Source organism: Homo sapiens, chromosome 13 (genome assembly GCF_000001405.40).
Source record: "Homo sapiens chromosome 13, GRCh38.p14 Primary Assembly".
Lineage (NCBI taxonomy): Eukaryota > Metazoa > Chordata > Mammalia > Primates > Hominidae > Homo > Homo sapiens.
The window spans coordinates 61,396,657-61,416,022 of NC_000013.11; the positions used below are offsets into that span (position 1 = coordinate 61,396,657).

The 19,366-nt window shown below is 37.0% G+C and overlaps 1 protein-coding gene across 1 annotated transcript; it reads right to left on the reverse strand.

The window, feature by feature from the left end:
* Positions 1-13,028: 13,028 nt before the first annotated feature.
* PCDH20 (protocadherin 20) lies at positions 13,029-19,193 on the reverse strand. The gene is made up of 2 exons (NM_022843.4): positions 18,371-19,193; positions 13,029-17,310 (listed from the first exon to the last, which is right to left on the reverse strand). Exons 1-2 carry the CDS (start codon positions 18,500-18,502, stop codon positions 14,587-14,589), a joined length of 2,856 nt encoding a protein of 951 aa, NP_073754.2. The 5' UTR covers positions 18,503-19,193; the 3' UTR covers positions 13,029-14,586.
* Positions 19,194-19,366: the final 173 nt, after the last annotated feature.

Below are 19,366 nucleotides of genomic sequence, written 5' to 3' on the forward strand. Positions count from 1 at the left end.
AATGAAGTTTCTCCAAGGTTTTAAAGGAAGATCCAGGATGTGAACACCTGTTTTCTTTACCTTGTTGGATATTTCTAGTCCTTTCTTATTTCATTGAGCTAGGTAATATTTTTCCTGTTTTATTCAGTCATAGAAAATAGGAAGATAAGTAGGGAGATCCTCAATCAGCATGTCTTTCATTCCTAAAAAATTGCTAGGACTATCATTCTGTTTTTGTTTACTTCAGGTTTTTCTGCCTAGAATTATTTTTTACAGTTTTGTTCTATATTTTCCTCCTATATTTTGTATTTTTTGTCTTTACTAGACAAATCTCAGATGGACAGTTACAACAGGGTTTACAACTCTTAGAAATGAATGTCTCCTGAATAGTTACATCTCTTGCCCCAGTAGCCATACATGAAAGTTCTGCCACCCTATTCCTTCACTTTTGCCTCACCAAGCATGTCGTACTCTCCACCAGAACACTAAGGATAAGCAAAGGGCATGGGGCAGAGCATGCCTGTTCAGGTCCTTCGCAAAGCAAGACTTTCAGACCCAACTCCAAGCCTCTGTTACAGGACCTTCGAAGGTCAAAATAGATAATCCTTTTCTTCTAAAGTAGTGATATGGTTCAGCTGTGTCCCCACCCAAATCTCATCTTGACTTGTAGCTCTCATAATTCCCATGTGTTGTGGGAGGGACCATGGGGAAGATAATTTAATCATGGGGGAGGTTTACCCCATACTGTTCTTGTGGTAGTGAATCAGTCTCACGGGATCTGATGGTTTTATAGGGGGCAATCCCTTTCACTTGGCTTTCATTCTCTCTTTCCACTGCCATGTAAGAAGTGCCTTTTGCCTTCTGCCATGATTGTGAGGCCTCCCCAGCCACGTGGAACTGTGAGTCCATTAAATATCTTTTTCTTTATAAATTACCCAGTCTGAGGTATGTCTTTATCAGCAGTGTGATAATGGACTAATATAAGTACATAACTACTGTAATTTATGTTTAGAATTTCCTTCCACTTATACATTTAGTAATACATTCTACAGATTTTTTGTTGCTTGTTTTTAACTTTCTTTTTTTGGTAGATACATATATTTATGGGGTACATGTGATGTTTTGATACAGACTGGCAATGTGCAATAATTATATCATGGAAAATAGGATATCCATCTCCTTACACATTTATTCTTTGTATTTCAAACAATCCAATTACATTCCTTTAGTTATTTTTAAATGTACAATTAAATTGCTACTGACCATAGTCACCCTGTTGTGTTATCAAATATTCATAGTTTTTATTTATTCTTTCTATTTTTTTATGCCCATTAACCATCCCTACCTTCCCCCACACCACTACCTTTCCCAGCCACTGGTAACCATTTTTCTACTCTTTATCTCCATGAGTTCAATTGTTTTTATTGTTTTTAATTGTTTTTATTTTTTATTTTACTTTAATTTCTGGGCTACAAGTGCAAAACGTGTGGTCTGTAACATAGGCATACGTGTGCCATGGTGGATTGCTGCACCTATCAACCCATCATCTAGGTTTTGAGCCCCAAATACATTAGCTATTTGTCCTAATGCTCTCCCTTCCCTTGTCCCCCCATCCCCCTGACTGGCCCAGGTGTGTGTTGTTCCCCTCCCTGCATTCCTGTGTTCTCATAGTTCAACTCTCACTTATGAGTGAGAACATGCAGTGTTTGGTTTTTTGTTCCTGTGTTAATTTGCTGAGGATGATGGTTTCCAGCTTCATTCATGCCCCTGCAAAGGACATGATCTCATTCCTTTTTATGGTTGCATAGTATTCCATGGTGTATAGGTACCACATTTTCTTTATTCAGTCTATTATTGATGGGTGTTTGTATTGATTTCATGTGTTTGCTATTGTAAATGGTGCTACAATAAACATATATGTGTATGTGTCTTTAGAGTAGAATGATTTACATTCCTTTGGGTATGTATCCAGTAATGGGATTGCTGGGTCAAATGGTATTTCTAGTTCTAGATTCTTGAGGAATTAACACACTGTCCTCCACAATGTTTGAACTAATTTACATTCCCACCAATAGTGTAAAAGCGTTCCTATTTCTCCACAGCCTTGCCAGCATCTATTGTTTCTTGACTTTAAAAAAATCATCATTCTGACTGGCATGAGATGATATCTCATTGTGGTTTTGATTTGCATTTCTCTAATGATCAGCGATGTTGAGCTTCTTTTCATATTTTTGTTGGCTTCATAAATGTCTTCTTTTGAGAAGTGTCTGTTCATATCCTTTACCCACTTTTTGATGGGTTTGTTTGTTTTTTTCTTGTAATTTTGTTGAAGTTCCTTGTAGATTCTTGATATTAGACCTTTGTCATATGGGTAGTATGCAAAAATTTTCTCCCATTCTGTAGGTTGCCTACATACCACAGATGTTTTGTGGGTTCTCTCTTATGTACTAGCCATGATTCTAGGTTCTTGGATTACAACTGTAAAATAAGAGAAAGAAAAAAAGAAATAAGAAGAGAAAGAGGAAGAGGAAGGAGGAGGAGGAAGAAGAAGAAGACAAAGAAGATAGAGAAGAAGACAAAGAAGATAACAATATTGCTGTGCTCATCAGGTTGACAACTGAGTACTGTCGTAGACTAAAATTTCCAAAAGGTGGAAATAGACGTGTTAGCTACCATTCTAGTTACTTGATTTATCTACTTTTGATAATGATGATGACAACATTTATGTGATGATGATGGGGATGAAAAAAAGATCTGATTTCATGCTCACTTATGAGTTTTATCTTTAGATTTTTTTTAAATGATGTCCTAGTTTATAGAAGATTGTGAGTCGATGCAGATGAAGGAAGAAATCCAAAATAGACTGGATGCTAAAATACCAAGTAAAGATGGCAAATTACAGAAATAATGGGATCTCATACTGGTGATTCTCAAACTTTGCTGCACTTTCAAATCACCTGGGGAGTTTTGTTAGAATCCTGACTCTCATTTTTTACCCCATACCAAATAAATAAGACAGTCTGAGGTGAAACATAGGTGTCAAGTGATTTTTGCTTTGTTTTATTTTGTTTATAACTCCCTTGATTATTTCAACATGCAAACAAACTTGAAAGCCAATGCACCAAACATTTTGTTCTCAAAATTTAATGTATGTTCTAATCACCCAGGGATCTTATAAAATGCAGATTCTGGTTTAATAGATCCAGAGTGGGCCCCAGATTCTCTGCTGCTGCTGTTTTGTAGACCAAACATTAAATAGCAGGGCTCTAAACATTCTTCCCCATGTCAGGACTGTAAGAACTCTGTAGATAGCCACCAGCCCTTTTCTGAGCAGTGGGTAACTGAAACCCCATTCAGTATGAATGAAAGCATGTCAATGTGCTAGGACTAGGAAAAGCTCAGAAATATTTAGAGAAGAGGCTCTCCAACACAGGCTTCTGACATGTTTGAAAACAGCCCACAGTATGGTCTGAATGTTAGTGTCCTCTGCAAAATTATATCTTGAAATCCTATCCCTCAAGGTGATAATATTAGGATGTGGGGCCTCTGGGGAGATGATTGGTCATAAGGGCTGAACTCTCATAAATGCAATTGGTACATCAACAGAAAAGGTCCAAGGGAGCTTGTTTGCCTCTTCCATCACGTGAAGACACAGCAAGAAGGTGTCATCTATGATAAAGCAGGCCCTTCCCAGACACTGAATCTGCTGATGCCTTGATCTTAGAATTTCCAGCCTCCACAACTCTAAGAAATACATTGCTGATGTCTATTAGATATGCAGTGTATGGTATTTTGGTATAGCAGTGCAAATGGACTAAATGGGATTCCCATCCCAATCTGAGCATGAGAAAGACTCCTGGGACATACACCTGGAGATGCTTATCTTCTTCGAGGCCTTCAGGGAGTATCATCATCACATACTCGGCTCATGTTTAATCAACAACCAAACTTCTGGGAAGAGAAGAAAAAGGTTTACCATCTCTTTGTAGAACCCCAGTCTTGTAGCTTCATATCCTAAATGTATTTTGTAAGTGAATAACCTGAGTACAGGTTATTGTTCTACCTAGCGGGTGATTACACAAATGATGAATTCTTGGTTATCAAAATACTCATATGGCTTTGGGATTTTGAACTGGTAAATATTCATGATGTGTGAAAAATCAAGACACATATTGTATAATCTCAGTCCCATAAAATTGGATGTTATTTTATATACAGACAGGACCTAGAAGAACACATAAAACTGTAAACTCTATGTGATTGTGGATTACTTTGTTCTTTGCTTCTTATGTTTTTCAGTTTCCTATAATGCACACATTAACATTTTTTTAAAAAAGGGTTATTTTAAAAATTAAAAAAAATGATGAGAAAGACGTGATTTTTTTTTGTGAAAACATAGGCAACATTTAGAAATGAGATATCTAGTCCCAGGAGTGAGCATTCCAATTTCTTCCTAAAACTGTATTCTTAGTAATTGCTTAAGATATCTTTTTCCCCACTCCAAATATTTAGTAGCTCTATGAAAAATTTATTCTTGAAATATGCTTTGCCCATTTGGATTTTAAATTTATTTGAAACAGTGTCCCCACCTTTTTAAGATAAATGTTAGGACAAATACTCTAAAGCCATCAAAAATGACTGACATGAAATAAAAAAGAAACGTACCAGTTTAAGAATGATACTTGTTTTTTGCAAAATGAAGAAAGACATGACTATTTTAGCCTTTCAATCAGAAGAGTTCTGATATGAATCCAAAACATTTGAACTGCACTTGCAAAGTGGTATCATTTTACTAGTACAAAATGCAATGTATAATATCATCCTATGTATTATGTATCGGATATGCCAATAGTAAATATCCAATAAAAAGTTGATGCATAGTAAATCAATTATTCTAATGAACTTCATCTTCTACTGTAAATTTATTGTATAGAGTGAAGCAGCTTTTGAATTGGAAGTAGAATTGATAGAAAAGTAGAATAAGAATCTATTAAAAACATAAAAACACACAACCTCCTGAAAGTGCTTGTTTTCAGAGAAGTTGAGATTATAAACCACTTCAAATAATCCATGGATTCTCATTCATTAGAAAAGATACTTTGTCTGCAATAACATAAAAACCATACATTTTAACAAGTATCTTGTTTTCATGAGGGCAAAATGTTACATATGCAATCAAAACACATCTACCCACAGTATCTCAATTACAAATATCATTCAGTTAATCCCATCCCAAATTGGGTTTGAGATGAATTCAACAGTTCAGAGCTATTCATCCTAGCTCTAATCAACTGAGAAAATATTTTATGGAAATAAAAACACCTCTGGTTTTTTCTTTCCTTTTTTTTCCCGTGACTGTTAGTAAAAGTGCAATGAACATAGAGTGGAACTGGCAGTGTTACAGTGCCTGGAACACAGTAGGATCACAATCTGTGATCTTAATTTCCATTTATATTTACATTAATTATTATAAGATTTTTAAACTTAGAAAATGATACGTATTTAACACCTTTGAATCATAAAAATTAAAACATGTATTGTAAAAGTTACCTGAATAAAACAATATTTTGTTAAACTGAGTCAGTTGAACTTGGCCTTAAATGGATGTGTTATGTGTTTTTCAAGATAGTGTAGTTGTTTTCTATTACTGCTGTAATAAATTGTCACAAATTTAGCAGTTTAAAATAACACTCATTTATTAACCCCCAATCTTGTAGTCAGAAGTTTGGTTACCGACTGGCTCAGCTGGTCCTTTGCTTAGTGCTTTGCAGTGCTGAAGTCAAGGTGTCAGTAGAGTGGTGTTTCTTTCTGGGAGATCTGTGGATGGATCCCCTTCCAAGCTCATTCAGATTGTCAGTGAATTCAGTTCCATGTGGTTACTGGACTGAGGTTTCCATTTCCTACCTGACTGTCATCTGGGAGCCTCTCTTATCTCCTTAAGGCTGGATAATCTCCCTATTTTAAGGTCCATATGTCAATTATATTTGCAAGGTAAATGCAACTTCCCTTTTGCCTTGTAACAGTCACAGGTTCTATGAATTAAGGCATAGGTATCTCTGGGGAAGTATTATGCCCACTGCAGTTAGATAGATAAATGGTGATTGTGAGAATATTGAGCTTACTTTATGAAAGAGCAGCAGCATAGTGACTGAATATGATCCAGGAAGCTGAAAGGGGAAGAAAACACTGGTTTCTTAGAATTCCTCCTGGCTCCATGAGACAGAGGTTTTGTATATTGTCAGAGATTTTACCTATCTTTTCCAATACACATACTTTTAATGCTAAGGTATTTTATCTTCAATCGAGTAAAACAGCATTTCCCATCAAATGATTTGATTGCAAATATTGTTGTCACATGGCATCTAAACCAGGGTGTCCTGAGTCAAACATGAAGTACAAAAAAAGGAACTAATTGGATTCCCTTAAGTTGTATTAGATGTTTTATTTGAAGGAATTATAGGCCAACATAAATTCAGTTATTCTTATACTCAGTTACTCAGAAATCTGTGCATTCATGGACTGAATACATTTACAAATAAGACTGGGGAAATGGTACATTCCGTAGTGCTTTTTACAGAATACTAATATTTTGTCGGACTAGTTCAAGAAATTGGACATATACAGGATAGTTGGCTTTGCTAAATTTAAATGCTTAGATGATTCAGTGGAAGTCTTTTAGGGATAAACTTAAATACATGTTACTGAAATTCTTCTGTTTGCAGTGTATTTTAACTGCTATTTACAAGAAATTCTGTAAATCAAATGGCACTTTTTACTGTTAAAAAATGATTGAAAGCATCATAAATAGGAAGCTGTCTCAACATAGACCAATAGTATTTTTTAGCACCTGGTTCATGGTTAGCATTGCTCACATTCATTTGACTTTGAATATGTTTAGATTTTATAATTGAATTAGAAAAATGTGAAGGAAACTAGTTTCTCAATTTAATAAGGCAGTGGGTAAGTGGGAGAGGAGCTAGGTGGATGATGCCTTTTTGGGGGGGAAAGAAAACTAAAATAATTTTATTTATTTTTAGAATTCAAAAAAATATTTAGTTTATTGTCTTCCTTTGCTCTTTTTATTCTACCTTTAAGGTGTTTTGTTTTGTTCTATGAATTGTTTAGAATTACCTTCTGTAGAGTAATTTTTCTTCATAGTGAATGTATCTGCAGTGATTTTATACATTAATATTAAAATGTCCTTTCATCATACATTTCACCAGACATTATAACATTGAAAAATACTGTAATATAGTATTATTTGAAATATTTATGCAACAAATCGCGAAGTCCATTTTACATTCCATTAAATCAAAACTTCACGTTGCCAAGAAATTACCTTAAAAAAATTTACACAAAACTATAAAATTGAGGTGATATAATTATATTTGCAAAACAAAAACTAGTGCTATTCTTTTGAAATATAGTGGCAGGGTTACTTGTAAATATGTAAAGTCAATTAATATCATAATTATTTTTAAATTATTGTGGAAGGTAAGCATATGATCTTTTTAATGAGAATAATTGGTTCACATCTCAGTACAAACATTTCTTTGATCATTTAAGTGAAAGTTAAACTTTGGAGCTATAAGGAATTTTAATATTTCAAATGCATAAAAGAAATACATAAAAGCAAAAGTAAAAAATTAGATTTGCCTATTCCAGCCATAGAACACACCCAACCCTAATTTTGTAATTCATATATACTGATATTCTCCTCTATTAGCTTCGAATATATAGGGTATATCTCCAAGTAGTGCTTTTATCTGTCATAATGTTTCTTGTCTCTCTCTGGTAGAGGTGCTTATGGAAGAGCTACAGGTCGGGGGTAGATTGGAGGAGGAACATATTCATTCCTATATGTGTGTGGTTCACGTTAGTTCTCCCAAGCTGGAGAATAATTTTGATGGAGAAAAATTTTATCCCTGTGTACAGCACAATGATTTGCTTGTAATACGCACAGACTAATAGTAAATATATTTAGTAAACGAATCATTGATGATAATAGTGTTTATCTTCATTGAAGCTTCAGAGTATTGGACCCTAAAACTGTAAGGAGTAAGAAAATGATCCCAAGTTCCCTTGGAATTGTAACATTTTATGATTTACTGAGATCCTAACATTCAGTTATCCTGAGTTTACCTTCAATTACCTTATTAAATGTAAGCCTGGTCCTTCTCTTTTTTTTTCTTTTTGCATTTAAAAATATTTTGACTGACATCTTTTTCCCTCTCTATATAGTGATTCCAAATTATCTAATGACAAACTTGTTTTTCTCCACTTTTAAAAAAAATTCCTTTAACAAATATCTCCCCATTCTCATTTTCATATCAATCATGTCCTTTGTATTCACACTTGAGCCTGCCTTTTCTATAATCTGTGTGAATTTTATATAAATATTTATTCACATATTAGAACCAAATTTATTCCTTCCATCTTTCTGCTAGTCTCATAAAGCTTTTCTTGATTATTCTCACATATTCTCTAACTTTTTAAAATTTTTACTATTTTATAAAAATTATTATATTTGTCAAATATATAAATTTATTCTTCATATATTTTTCTCTTTAAGAAGGTACAAATAACTTCATTTGGAAAATTGTATCTTTTTTCTCTAAGTACATGCAGGATAAATATGATTCTTACTAATTCATTTTAATAATTAATTTTGATTGACCTCATTTTTAGATGAGATTTTATTTCAGAAAATTTATTTTAACACCTGGTATATTGCCTTTGTAAATATTACTTTGGTTATCTTTCTAATAAAGGTGAAATTAAAGGATATGTCTTCATGGAAATGTTTGAAGGAAAAGTAACTCTGCTAGCTATTTTTCGCAGGATTTTGAATATTTCTTACATTTATGATTGCTGTATTCTCCTTTAATGCACCCTGCTAATTTTTTTTCTTGATTCTCTAGGTCTTAGTTTCTTCAACTGTAAAATGAAGAGGTTGGACTAAGTTACCTCTATGGTTTCATAATTTAAATAATAATTTTTTTTTAAGGCAGGGTCTTGCTCTGTCACCCATGCTTAAGTGCAGTGAAATAATAATCTTGACCATCACGAGATTTCCAGATGAGAAAGGATAAACTTGTCATAGGAATAAAAAAAAGTCAAAGTGTCCACAAAATGCATAATTTGAATAAATAGAGCATATTGAGTATATATAGGCCTTTAATCTAAAACACTATCAACTTTAAGGAATTGTTTTATGTAACAAAAATATTGGCTTGGTGAAAGAATGAGCAAATAAATTGATAAGACAACCTCCCATGGGACACCACTTAATTACAATAGCAATAATTAAGCTAATATTTGTGGAACACAATCTGCGCAAAATATTTTGCATGAATTATCTCATTTAATTTTCATTACACCATGAAAGACAGTAAGTTCATAATTTACACATAGATGAGTCTTAGGAGGGGAAATTAGATTTTTCTAGATGCTGGGACTGTATATAATATTGTTTTTACATCTGCTAAATGTTTATTTAGCCTGAGTTTGAAAATTCTACCATTTGGTATTGGTTCTTATTAAATTCTTCTTTTTAAACAACATGATACTTGAAGCATAAGACATGCTAAATGACTTCACTGGGTTTTAAAATGATGTTAAATGTTTAAAATAGTGATGTTAAACCTCAAGATCTGCATACTTCTTGGCTCTAACTAGCCATTTCACCTGGTCATATTTCCTGGATCCTGTTAAGAGTTGCCTACAACCATCATATCATTCTTTCTTGGTATTCACATAACACTTGAAGTTATATTTACACCTTAAATTATCCACTTGACATTTTATTATCTTGTTTTCAACAGGAAGGACTCCTCTACATGTGTCTATTTTTAGTACAACCACAAGTAAAATACCACAAATGGCTTAGATGAAATGTTCTTGATGACGTCAACCTCATATTGGAATATCTGTCACATGGGCATAGAGTAATGTTTGTTAAATTGAAGAGGATTGACAGTCATAAAGATGGAATAAACTGGGTAAATTAGTGCCTTTATAATTCCATCTGTGTTGTAAAACCCAACATTGGAGAAGCGGGTTATGGCTCCGATACTTTCATTGCTGACTTAATGTTTAGTAAATGAGTTCTGTATCTTTTTCAAATTTTTACAATAAGCTCAAAAGCAAATTATGAAAACTATTTACTTTCTGGTCATCCCATGCAGATTAACTCCTATGGCATCACAAGTTTAATCAGCTATACATTATTTATATCCTATATTACCTCCTATAATAGATCTCTTTTATATTCTCTGGTTCAAGTCCCCATTTTTCACTTAAATTGTCACTAAACCTTATAACTAGCATCCAGAATTTTCTTCAACACAAGCTGTACAGGTGGCCAAAAGTGATCTTTTAAAAACATAAACTCTCTGGTCTAAATTCTTAAAAGTCCCATTACCTTTCAGATAAAATTGTAACCTCCAAGTATGGCATATAAGTTTCTTCATTATTTGCTGTACACTTATGTCTCCCAGCTCATTGTTAATAATCTTTTTTATTCTCTTCATCCCTTTAGCAAAGGAAAACTGCAATATTTGTGGCTCTTCAACCATGACATGCTCACTCCCACATGTGTGCTTTGCCTACTGTTCCCCACTCAAATGCCCTTCCCTCCTGGCTGCCATTTTCTCTCATTTTCTCAACTTTTCCTTTTTTCAAGCTCATAACTTCTTATGAGAAGGGTTCAAAATAGACATCACCTCCTTTAGGGAGTCTTCTCTGACTTTCCAAAATTGGGTTAGGTCCTGCTCACATAGCATCCAAAGAATAGGCATTTATCACATATGTTTTGAAACTGGTTTTCTTATTGGCTTTCCACAGGATGATGTAAGTTCATTAAAAGAGTTGTAATATGGGTACTAAAATATGTATGGGATAAATGACTGTATGACTGATTTTTTAGAAATCACCACGGTATTCTTACTTCTTGACATTAGTGGGTTAAGTTTTAAAGTTCACTCAATTTTGTTTTATATCCTTAAAGGAAGACGTTCCTAGTTTAGGAGTCTATTTTACAAATGCTACTATATAAGGACAATATATACAAAAAGTGACATTTAAAAATGATTATAGGTTATGTATTTATGTATATATTATCTGAAAAATATACATGGTTTGTTATTAGAAATAGAAATAACTAAAAAAAAATACTGTGCTGCGACTTTTTAGCTCAGGAATCCAAATTGTTTTAATTGATTTTTTCTCTGAGTCTTCTTGTGGGCCCATCAGTTCTCTTCAATAAATATTTATTGACTACTTGCACATAAAGGCACAGTGCTAGGCAGAGAATGCCTAGATCTGCAATATGGCATTTCGTGGCAATTTTGACTTTTTTCAGTGAGCAAATTTACCATAGAGCGATGAAAATGCTCAGGTATTTATGTCCCTGGCCTCCATGAATTGAGGCTGCCCAACGATTTGAAGAACACCAGCTGGTTGGTGCTGCAGTTTCATTACATTCTCCATTGTCTGCCAGGGATCAGGACCTCACAGAGTCCTCACCTCAGGAGGAGAGATCGGAACCTGAACATCCAGAGGACAGAGGTTTGCTTAATTTCCCCCTTTATAGTTGTCAATTTAGGCATTTTCTGGGAGCACAAATTAGAATCCTTGTGAGAGATCTTACTGCAATCAAATCAGCTTCATACACCACTCCTAAAAATTGTTTCCAGTGATGTTATTTCACAGTAAAATCATGCCTGGTGTTTTCCTAAAATACATGTAGAACATCTAAAACACTCAAAATTTACATTTTTTAATGCATCAATACTACAAAACTGTTTAAAAAGAATTTATTTTTCTCTTCTTTTCCAACTACCATTGATGAAAGCCTAACTGCCAGGAGGGCTTTTTTTTTTTTTTTTTTTTTTTTAATAGGGTCAGGAAATCTACCCTAAGTAGTCAAATAACGTAAATTGTTTTTTTCCCTGTAGCTGAAATTGCTATGTTGGTTTTAAACTTCCCAATTCAAATTAATGAACAATTTTCTCTGTAGTGTAAGAGTGAATTTGGCAGTGCAAAGATCACAGCAATCTCTTCTTCATTAAATTGGGCAAAGAGAACTCATTGGTTCACAAACTGTTAAATGGATATTAGGGGTTTTAATGAATGGAACATTTATTTTTGTGCCAGCTCAACTAACAACATTGACATGATTAGCATACATTTTGGCAACTATTCTAGCACAAGGTGTCAGTAAAAAGGGGCTTTTATCTTTTAGTTTAATTTAGTTTAGCTTTCCTCGCTATTAATGTTTTTAATGTGAATGAGATGTTTTTGTAAAGGAAATCCTGCCACAAGAAGTTATTCAGAAATACATCTTTTTATTAATGTTACAGGCATTTCTCATGCTGGAGATCAAGTCCATTCCCCAAAACACATGAACCTTCTTCAGATTTGGAAATGAATCGAAAATTGTGCTATTTATACTGATGGTAAAATTATTGCACTTATGGAGGCTTCTTAAAAATAAATAGTGTTACTTTTATCTCATGAAGTTCCTTTCTTTAAAAAAGAGAAATAAGAAATAAAATATGACTAGTAAGAGATGTTTCCTCCATTGCTACATATCAGTTATAAATGAAAAGTTTTGGGGGTTAAATGATCTTAGTCTCTTAGCTCAGATGCCTCTCGTACAAAAGGAATTTCCAATAAAAATATATTTACTTTTTGTAACAAACATTGCTGCCTCATATACTTATTATTTTATTTATTGAAATTCTCAAATTGAAGAAAAATAAGATAAATGAGTTAATTAATACAAATCTAAAAGAACTTGGTTGTTTGCATTCAATGTCTTTTTTGTAGAGTATTTTTGTTTTAAAAATTATTGCAAGCTATTGCAACACAGCTAACAGAGGATTTGTTATAAATCTGTAGTAAAATGAAAATTTATAATGATATTAAATCTATAATAAATTAATATGCATGTGCACATACATGGGTGCAAATTTTCATATGAACTTACATCAAACATTTAGGCATACTCTCTTTCTACTATATATATGTCTATAACTACACACACATTTAATAATTTACCCAATGTTTAATTGAGTAATGAATTCATTTAATATAAACTTTAGTATAGCAGAATACTACAGGTTACCCACATTTAACCCTAAAAACAAACAAATGACAGGCACTTCAGTGAAATAACAAGCCCATGTTCAAATATAAAATGCTAAAAGTGAGAAAGAAATTATGAAAATATATACCTTTAATTTGCAGACATATAAACACTTTTGGTACAGTACAGATGCATGATGCCAAAAAGTAAAATGATCCAGTTTAAGCTAACACATTCCTTGTTTATACAGATTATTTTGCTATAGCTCTCATATAAAATAATATTTCCAGCTCACACAATGAATTGAAAGTGATAAATCACTGATGAAATAGCTTTCTTCATTGCAAGAGATTCAGTAAAAGCTAAATTATCAAAGAAATCTGCTGCAGGGCTTACAAATAAACTGTTGGATTTAATCCAAAACCAAAGAAAGGAAGCCAGAAATGGTAGTCAACAAACCTAAACAACAACAAAAAGATAAGTACAGTATAACTTTCATATAAAAGGCCCAACTAAAACAACCAGTAGTGTACACAAGCCTCTAGAAGAATTCACTTTTAATATGATTTCTATTTTCTTATGTGATGGATGATTTCAAGCCTATAAAAGTCTAATATATAACCCAAGTATAAAGTACGACCAACAAGTTGTGAAAGCACTAAAATGTCATGAATGCCTATGAAGCAACTAAAGATTGAAGCATTTCTTTGCTTCTGGCTGTTTTTCTTGGGCACAATATCTAGTTACATTTCCTGTAATGAAGAATATATATATGTATGTATAAATCTATTTCCCTTGTAATAATAACAAGTGCAGTGGTAAAGCAAACAGAAAGCAATTCGAGTACACAGAAAGTGGAATACTCTTCAGCAGGCTGAATCTGTAACACAAGGCAATGATTTTATCCTTGCTAAAAAGGAATTGCACTTCTTTTTAATGCCTTCTCTTTCACACTATATATGCACTTATGAGGTAATAAACATTCTGTTTACAAGTGCATTTCTTTTTTTATCATATGTTTAAATAGGGTGAAATTTAATTTACTTTAATTTCATATTTGTTTAATGTTAAAAACAATATATTTAAAATATACTCTTTCATTAATTTCATGTACAACTGCCAAGTACAATACCCCAGTTTCCTGCAAAGGAGCAGCTGATGCCCTCTTGTGGTGACAGGAATTTTTAGATAAAAATTTGTTCCATTTTTCTTACCTTACTCCCAGGTTTTATCAATCATCTGCTTGGTGTATGAAAGCTGCAAACCATGTCCAAGCTTTTTTTTTTTTTTTAAATACAAGTCCTATAGCTGTTAGTACTAATTTTCACTTAAAAATGCTGTACACATTTTATAACCTCTGAATTTAAATTTAAAAACCTGTAAACAGCTATTTACAATATAGAACAAGTTATAAATTAGTTGTCCTTCATTGGAACTGCCATCAACACACTCTTTTTTAGGTGATGAAGATCCAAAGTCAGTTAAAACATTTCTCTGTGTTATTCCACCATGAAATATCAAATATTAGAAATATCCATTGGCTTTCTCTCTCGCATATGCAAGTCAATTTTTCCTTTCAGTGGAATCTGTACTTCCAAATTTTCATCTTCCCTGGGATGCTTTTCCCCTTTCCTTAAACAGATGTATATGCCCATCCCTGTGACCAGTGTGATGGAACCCAAGCTTATTACAGACAGAGCTACTAAGGTGGGCATACAAGACACAGATTCTACCTTCCTATGAGTCGGTTCTATTGAGATTTGTGGTTCTTTCTCCTCTATATTAATCTCTGGTTCTTTTCTTAAAAGACTCTCAATGTAACTCTCATTACTGACAGTGTCATTGACAAATAGGTTCACCATGACTGTGGAGTGGAGAGGCTCGGGATAACCATGATCACTCACTTTCACCAGTAAGCGATGGAGCCCATAATCTGTCTGCAGCAATGCCTCTTCCAAAGTAATGTTGCCAGTTTTAGGGTCAATCCTGAAGGACTCAGGCCTAGGACCTCTTCTCCCTATGATGCTGTAAGCTATGACAGCATTCATGCCTGTGTCTTTGTCGACAGCATAGACTTCTGTAACCGGGGAGCCTGGCAGAGTAGAAGGCAGTACTAACAGATAAGACATATTAGACTGAGGAAACAAAACAAGAGGAGGGTTGTCATTGATATCTAGAAGGAGAATTGTGATTTTTGCTGTAGAGGAGAGGGCAGGCTCACCCCCATCAACAGCTTCAACCCACAAAGTATAGGAGCTTTGCTGCTCTCTGTCCAAAGAGACTTTAGCCCTCAGCATACCCTTTCCTGTATCTATGACAAAAATATCACTCTGGTTCACCACAGAGAGGGCGACCCATCCATTTCGTCCAGCGTCAGCATCTGTTACACTAATTACTCCAATCTCACCATAGCCTGGAAAGTTTTCAGGCACAAAAAAGCTGAAGTCCTTGTTGATAAACCGAGGACTGTTGTCATTTTTATCCAACACTGTGAGGGCCACAGTGGCTACTGATTCTCTGGGTGGCTTCCCACAGTCAACAGCTCTGACAGTGTATCTGTACTTTTCTTTCTCTTCTCGGTCCAGCTGAGTAGAAACTGTCAGAATTCCTGTGACACTGTCTAAGGAAAAATATGATGGAGCATCAGGTCCCAGAAAATATGAAACTTGGCCTCTCTCCTCGCTGTCGGCATCTGTAGCATACAGCTTAGTCAAAAAGGCATTGGGTGAGTTGTTCTCTTCGATGGTTAGTTCTATTAAGGGTTGAAGGAAAATTGGAGCATTATCATTGTCATCTAAAAGTTGCACTTTAATGACCCTTTTGACATGAAATCCCTCAGAGTTCCAAGCCACCACAGCTACTTCATAGAACTGCTGTAGCTCATAGTCCATAGGTTTTGTGGTCTCTAGTAAATATTCATTATTGTATGGTTTGTAAGGTGATAACCTAAACGGCCCTTCACCATCCAGGTAGCAGTTAACCTTGTATTTACCTTCTGGATCTCTTATGGTGAAAAACGCAATGGGAGTGTTAACGGGTTCCAGTTCTTTCAGATAAACCACACCATCTATCTCGTTTGCTATGTAACGAGGGACAATTTCAGGGGGTCTGAAAATAACTTTAATAATGGACACAAGAGCAGTGATTACAGCAGGGATGCAGCCTGGTCCATTAGCAAGGATGGTGAGCTTGTGGGACTCCAGAACACTTCCTCCAATCTTACTGAAAAGTTTAATGACTCCAGTGTTTTCATCCAGGTGAAATAAATCCTTAGATGCTTGTGGAACTTTCTGACTGTAAGAATAAGTAATTTGAGCATTGGTCCCCAAGTCTTTATCCACAGCCTGGACAGCTGCAATTGGGGTGCCCACTGTAGCATTCCCATACACAGTGACATTGATTTGTGAGTCTGTGAAGAGAGGGCAATTGTCATTAATGTCACTGATGCCAATGGTGAGAGTGGCACTGCCCAAAAGTGGTGGAGACCCACCATCCTCAGCTATGATGATGCTCACATACTGGTCCTGGGTTTCCCTGTCCAAAGCACCCATGACAATTAGGTAGGGGGTGCGCTCCCCATTCTCATTCTCCTCCACGTCCAGGGTGAACATACCATGGTAGTCCAGTAAGCGATAGGTCTGTACCCCATTAATGCCTACATCTGGGTCCACAGCAGGATGCTCTATGGCCAGTCGGGTGTTTACAGGTGCATTTTCCGGGACCCACACCGAGATCTGGGAAACAGGGAACTGCGGGGCGTTGTCATTGATGTCTCTGATGGCGATCTTCACCTTCACAAACCTGAAGTATTCCTGAGGCAGGACAAGCACATCCAGCAGCAAAAGACAAGAGTCAGAAGGAGAGGAGGAGATGGAAACGCTGCCGCTCCACGCAGTCCCTCCACCCCCTTCAACACACAGGGCCTCCCTGTCGATCTCCTGAGCTGAAGTGTGCAGCTCCCCAGAGCGGTTGTCTAGGGTCACGTACTGGCCACTCAGTCCCCGGGAGGCCAGGCTGAAGGAGAGAGGGGGGTTCCACTCAGCACCGGTGCGCTCTGGCAGCTGCGACTGCGGGTCCGGCCTCCCTGCAGACCTGGGCAGCAGCCGCAGGTCCTCGGCCAGGCTGCCGATGAGCACCCCCGCGGGTAGTCCCTCGTTTAGGCTGTACAGAAGCTCGGTGGCCCGGCTGTAACTCCCGAGGCAGCTGAAGGGTCCCACGAAGAGGAAAAACAGAAACAGATGCTGGAGTTGGGGGAGGGAAGAAAGCTCATTACACACACGGGGAAATAGGGGTCCGAGAGAGAAACTAGCGCCCCTGTGATCCTTGCTGTCCCCATCCCCGTTCCCAGAAGCAAAACCTCTAATTAGAACGGGGGCGGAGAAGAACCCTGCTGCGAAGGAGAGATCTGTGGGGCAATATCGTCTCCAAAACTTAATTTTGCTGTTCACTTTCTATCCCCTCCGCCCCCGCCTTCCCCCCTCGTTTCCCCATCACCACCCTCATCCAGCTAACATTCAGAATCCCAAACCGTAAAACATCCCTGGAAACACACACCGGAGTGGAGAGGATTCCGACTCAGAGACTGCGCAAAGCGACACGGAAACCCAGGGTAGGTGATGGGGAGGGAGGGGGCTGGTAGTAGAGAGCACTGAAAGGTGGGCAATTTATTTCTCCTTGAAGTGATTCTGCCATTAGAGTGCTGGAACACGCAGTGTGTTACATCCCTTACTAAGAGAACCATAAAAACAACCACAATCGCAATAATAATAATAATATAGAAAAAATACCAACACTTCCTCCTCCACCTCCAACACTTTAGGTCTTAGGTCGGAAAGAGTGATTTTTATTTTAGCACACATCTGAAATCAAACCGAAAGGATCTGGATTTCCACCCCTTACCAAGCAGTCACTAATCCCCCTCCCTTAGGGGGAAGCAAAGTAAACGCGGAAAATGGCTATGCAAAAACAATTTGTCAATTGCAGTAGGCATTCATAGCCAGACGCCAGCAGCAGGAAACGATCCCGAACCCCTGTAGCTAAAGCGGATTGAGCGCACCCCCGATGCCCTCGACCTTATCTGGATACATTTCTTGCTTCAGAAACTTCCTCTCATGACCCACGGACTTCCCTATTCCTTGTTAAAAGGAAGACACATTATCCCAAACTCCCTTTCCCTCCCGGCGCCATCCTTCCCGTGAAGTTTAGATAAAGGTAGAAGGTTTGAAAAACCATCCGAGTGGGAATTGCTTCACAATACTGCAACTTGTCGGGGTCGCGGGGTTCCTTGACCCTAACCCTTACCGGCAGGTTCCTGTAGCTGGTGCTGCTCCTGGGACGATGTAGACGCCCCATATCCAGGCGCGGGTGCCAGGTCGCCGGGCACCAGCTCACTCCCAGGGCCTGTGAGCTGCGCGCATTCCCTCGGCCGCGCATTCCCTGGGAGGCTGCAGTCAGAGCGCTCTTGAAGGGAGGGCGGCAGAAGACACTCCCTCTCGGTTCATGCAAATCGCTGGGGGAACTTCAGCCAATAGTCACTGGCTCTTCAATTAAGGACGGGAACTCAAAGAGTGGCAGAAAGGCAAGAGGGCAGAAGGGCACATTCATGGTTTCCTGCCCCGGACGCAGGTAACTCCATACTCTGCCAGAGGAGCTGGAATGGGGGACTTGCTCCTGAAGACTGCGAAGAGGCAGCTCGGGGTTGGGCACAGTAGCGCTTACCTACCAGCCTCCTTCCTTGCCGCACCAGTCAGATGCCAAGTCCACAGGTTGCTAGCAAGAGAGGGAGAATTAAAATAAATAAATAAGCTTGCATTTGTATATGGATGTAACAGAGAGAGGAAGTCGGCGCCACAGAGCAATCACAGGCGCGGTCCCAAAACGCCTGCTTTGCCAACAGTTCCTCCTGGAGCCTCGGATCCAGCAGTGTTGGCACAGAGAAAGAAAATGCACTTTTCTCAGCGGAGGGAAGGAATCTCAACTTCTGTGTAACGTAGGGTGAACCGGAAAAGTAAATATATGAATTCAGTGAAGGTTTCGACATACCCCAATTTTGAATCTTTGCTGTGGGCAGTGGTAGAGCTTCTGCTAGTTTCCTAGTTGGAGGCTCAAATGTCTCTGGGTGTTTGCCTTGTGGTCTTATTTTAGAGGCAGTAGTGGCTTCTGGATGCGGGGAAGAGCCAAGGGGAAAGTAGAAACAATTGTGCTGTAACACAAGTAGTTCTGCCTGCAAGTAATCTTAAACATATTTATCTAAGCGGTAAATTGGTGTGGGGAGGGGGAGGTATTCACTGAAGCCTA

Coding starts and splice junctions, on each gene's coding strand:
- PCDH20 (NM_022843.4), bottom strand. CDS start 18,502: ATGCGCGGCCGAGGGAATGCGCGCAGCTCACAGGCCCTGGGAGTGAGC. Junction 17,311..18,370: donor CCAGCTACAGGAACCTGCCG/GTAAGGGTTAGG, acceptor CCCCAACTCCAG/CATCTGTTTCTGTTTTTCCT.